The sequence below is a fragment of the Homo sapiens genome, chromosome 2 (genome assembly GCF_000001405.40).
Source record: "Homo sapiens chromosome 2, GRCh38.p14 Primary Assembly".
In the NCBI taxonomy this organism is placed as follows: Eukaryota; Metazoa; Chordata; class Mammalia; order Primates; family Hominidae; genus Homo; species Homo sapiens.
In genome coordinates, this window is record NC_000002.12 from 226126677 (window position 1) to 226132045 (window position 5369).

Below are 5369 nucleotides of genomic sequence, written 5' to 3' on the forward strand. Positions count from 1 at the left end.
AACATGTATCGCCACTCTGGGTAAACAGTAAGCACTCAATAAATGTCTGTTATTATTACAGTCTTCAAAAAGTATTTAATACTTATTAACACTTTTACTCTCCTCACATCTGAAGAGTTTAAAAAAAAGATATCAAAACCCCATTTTTATTACCGATGAAGGTCAGATTAGAGAACATAACTTTGGTCAATTGTCAAGGCAGACCTACTAATTACATCCTAAAATTAGGTAGATTCACCATTTGGTCTCAGGCAGAACTGAACTAGGGCAGAGCTTCCAATATAGAATATTTTCATTTGGGTGGGATTAAAACAGCATAGAAGACTTTGGAAGCTTATCATGAGTTTTGACTTAGAAAATGAAGAATAGGAAAACATAGATATACATGAGAATTATGAAGTGTTTAAAGTAAGAAATGCAATAATCTGATGACGTAGCCAATTTTGTCTTTCACTTTGGTAAGTATTATTATTATTTTTTCTCTTGAGATGGAATTTTGCTCTTGTCACCCAGGTTGGAGTGCAATAGCGAGGTCTCCACTCACTGCAACCTCTGCCTCCCAGGTTCAAGTGATTCTCCTGCCTCAGCCTCCCAAGTAGCTGGGATTATAGGCTCCCACCACCACGCCTGGCTAATTTTTATATTTTTAGTAGAGACCATGTTGGCCAGGCTGGTCTCAAACTCCTGACCTCAGGTGATCCGCCTGCCTTGGCCTCCCAAAGTTCTGGGACTATAGGCATGAGCCACCGCGCCTGGATGGTTTTGGGGTTTCTATAAAAACTTTATTTAGGCTCAGGGTACATGTGCAGCTTTGCTATACAGGTAAACTCATGTCACAGGAGTTTGTTGTGCAGATGATTTTGTCACCCAGGTACTAAGCCTAGTACCCAACGTTAGTTTTTTTAATTCTCTTCCATCTCCCACCCTAGGTTTTTAAATGACCTCTTCAAATTATCTTATGACTCAAAGAAGTTAAGGAAATTGCTAAATATCACATGGTTAACAAATGTCACAGCTAAAATTCCAACTGGCAGCTCTAAAACCCTATTACATTATACAATCTTGCTAAGGAGTGATGAATGGTGTATTGGAGGTGAGAAAGAACAGAGCATATAGAGAGGTTTGGTCAATAGTGTAAAAATAAAACAATTTGATTCTAGAGCAAATTTGATTGTCACCCTTTTTCATTTTGATTTATTGAAACCTCAGCAAATCTTGACCCTATGTTATACACTGGGGTAACAATACAATAAGACCTACATCTTGTATTGAAAGGTAGATGATAATTTAGTGAGGGATACAAGCCAATATAAGACCACAGTAAACTTGGTCATTGTCATCTCAGAGCTGGACATTAAGTAAACAGTGGAAAGATATTCAGACATAGAACAGGAGAAGCGAGAATCAGAAGCTTTTCCAAAAATAGTTACCAGGGATTAGCAAGTTACTCCGTACACAAGATCCTGTGCTAATACAGAATTAATAGTCTTTACCTTTTCATAATGATGCATTGTAATTTTATAAAATCAGAAAATAAGATAATATTAAATTCCTATAAATAGTCGGAGACATCTGCTAATCCAATGATAACTCTCATTAGTATTTGAACATTTGATATGGGTTTTACCAAACTATTTTTCTATGCAGTAATGCACTTCAGAGAAGAATCATAAGAGGTAAATAGCATAAGCGTACCTTTGGGTATGAGTAAACCTTCTCATACCTGAATAACCTTCTCAGGGACACTGAGTTTTCCGTTACCTTTAGCCATTATCAAATGCATAAAATCCCTGCAAGTTTTCATTCACTCATCCATTTATTTAACCCACAGTGAGTGCTTCCAATGTCCAGGTGCTGAGCTGACTGCCAGGAAAACAGGACCCCTTTCTACTAAGGGATCATCCAATAAAGTATGGGATAATCAGTCTACTGAGAGAAAATCCATTAAGTTCTAGCATCTAGAGTGCACATTCCAGGCGATATTATAGTTCATACCAATAAATCAATGGAAAACATTTACCATGGTTGCAAACTTCCCAGAATTGAACATTTAAAAATATAAAGAGCGTGTGACTATACTACACTTGCAAGACAGTCTATAACTTTTGTTGTCCGTCTTTCTGGGATGAACTTCTCAATGGTTCTTTCCTTGACTAACTTCTCTTTTAAGTCTCAGCTCCAATGCCTCTTCCTCCTCAGAGAGGTCACTAGTAATCATCCTGTTTGAAGAAGCACCTGTTAACCAAATAAATCACTCTATCATGTCATTCTATTTATTTCCTTCAGAGGATTAATTATAATCTAACTGCATTTATTTGTTTACTATCTATTACTTGTCTACATCACTAGAATCTAAACTGTTGAGAGCAGAGGCATTATTTATTTTCTTCACAGCTATATGCTTAGCACTTAAACCCCCACACTTAATAATCACTTAATATATAATTTATTAAATAAGCTAGCCCTAGTCTTCAAGTCTGCACCAACACATAAGATAGTAGTTACATCACTTAGGATGCTTTAAGCTGCAGAAAACTGAAACCCAAAGCCAAGTGGCTTACATAGTCCCAAACATGTATTATCTTACAACAAGAAGTTCAGAGGTAAGGATGCACCAGAGTGCACTTGGCTTCTCAATGATATCATTAAGAATCCAGATTCATTCTGTCTCTCAGTTTTCTCATATCAGGAAGTTGACCCTTCCATAGGTCAGCTCATCTTGTGTTTGCAAGATTCTGCGGCAGTTCTGGGTTATTATATCCATTTTTGAAAACATACGGAGGAAGAAATGGGACTATCACTTACTCAGTGATTCCTACAATCCATAAATAAACTTTTCTGGATGACACTCAGCAAACTTCTCATCAAAGCTCAGTGTTTGCAATTTTGTTGCACATCTACAAATAATCCAATCACAAGGGAAACAAGGCCATGATGACTGATTCACACCAAAGATTTCCAAACTCTTTGATTGTGACCCACGATAGAATTGTTTTTACATTGACACCAAGTACATATGTATACATAATTTTTTAAGTTTTTATGAGATTTTTCTTAGCCTGTCTCTAATCTGTATGTAACCTGATATTTCCTATTCTATGTAATTTGAGGCACAATAATATGACCCACTGATTTGATTTTAGGATTTACTAATTATTGTGATTCATAGTTGGAATAATGTTGTCCTAGACCAATAACAATCTACTTCAAATGCTAGGCTGTGAATCAGTTGAAGTAAGAGTAGATGTGCAAACTAAATTAAAATTAGGGAAAAAACGAAAGTGGCCTTTGGTGGAGGCAAATAGCATCTGCTCAGTTTTTACTTAGTAATTTTTATTTATATTTTTAATTTTAATTTTCACATTACATTGTTATATCACATGATATATCTAATATTAATTGTAACAAAGATTCTCAATATGTAAAACTATCAAAGACAATAGGTTAGGAATCAAATAAATTTCTAGAGCCAAATCAAAAGGAAAAGTATATAAGGACTGTTTATTTTTTGTTGTTTATTTGTTTAGAAAATGTTACTTAAAATGGCAGAAATTAGAGCTTAAGTGTTGGGCCCACAAAAAATACCAAGTAAGTGGGACCCTCTCAGTTTCTTTGAAACTTGTCATAAACCATGCTGACATCCCCAGGAGGCCTCTGAAAACCCTCCAGTTGGCTCTCTTGCTGATAATGAGTTGCGCTACATTGATGTTCGCTGTCCAAGGTATTCTCACCAAAATACTACAGAGAATGGTCTCCTCCCCTATGTCTCTGAAACAGACAAACTCAAGTCTTCTTGGCTAGTCCTGTGAGCTAACAAATTGCATCCTTCTAGCCACTTTCTCAATCTTCTCTTCAGTTTTACTTCTTAAATATGTATCTATCTCCATTTCCTTCTAGCTATATCTTTTTTATTTAAAAAAATCCCATTATTTCAATATGTACAATAGACATTTTGATTCAGTTACAATGTTGTGTCATTTCTCTGTTATAAGACAGAATCAAAGAGTGCTACAAAACTGGATTATTTATATAACCAAACATAATCACTTCCATCCCCAATATTTTATTTAATTTTAATTATTTCCATGAAATGTAAACTGTATTATAGAATTACTTGTCATAATAAAATATGCCAAGAATCTAACCTTTTGTTGATTCAAGATGATTATAAGAGATGGAATTTATTTTGTAATACTTTAATACAGAAATCCTACATGTATTTACTGAAAACATTTTGATAAATAAAATAAGAAAATGAATGCAGCACTCAGCACACACCAAAATAGAGCATGGCCAGGGAAGGAAGAAATAAAAGAAAGACAAAATAATCTATGGAGAAAAAAATTGAAGTATTAGTGCTATCCCAAGGAGACTAGGTTTTCTAAATTTCTGATATCCTCATTGATCCCAGTCTTAAGCAAGCTATATATGTATGAAGTCTATATAGAGAGATGTGTTTGTGTGTAATGTTCTGGCACATATTTTCATCGTATTCTTGTACTCTACACTATCAAATGGGTAAGCTGAGGCATGGCATAGTTAAATGATAACATCTTAGAATCTGTGACAGATTTGGAATTCAATGGCAGATTTGGTCCTGTATCCAAACCTACTTTCTGTGACCTCATATGTTCCCTTTGAATCAGGCCTAAGAATAGTCTTGACACCACAGAGAGCACCCTCCCTGGCCATGTGATAACCAGGGCAAGGAAAAGCCAGGCTCACCTTGAGAGGAATGTGGCTCTGCACCAGGTATTTCAGGGTCACTCAGCAGGTTTATTTTTGCTATTCTGCTGGCCTTTCCTCCCTGGCCATGGCCCAGAACACTCCAGGCTCTGTCATCGTTTTGCACCGCACAGAGCAGCCCATTGGCCTTAATACCTGAAGCCACAGCTGTATTTCAGGACCTGTTATAATCAACCTCAGGCTTCCTAAGGCATTGCTTTTCCTCTCTGCCTTCTACAAAAGGTGACAGATGGCACTATTACATCACATTCAGCTTTTGGGGGAAGTAAGCTTAATAAACTATGCAATAATCTCTATCAGAGCCCAAGAAAACAATGGGCCAGGGAGTCAGAGATCAGCTGCCCAATTTCTCAAAAAGGAAATAGATTGATTCCAGTAAATCTAGCCCTGCGAAGACAAGGAAACGTGGTATTCTTTATCACCCCCATTCAGCAACACCAGCAATTTGAGCTTTGCATTTTCCTATTATGTTACCTGGAAAGTCACTAGTAAATACAGATGGATATTAAAATAGTTTGTGTTCAGGATAACATAAAGTAATGTAATAATATGAACAAGAGTAGATTAAATGTAAATGTAATAAAATCACAGTGCCAACACTCTGTCATAAGACACGGAAAGGA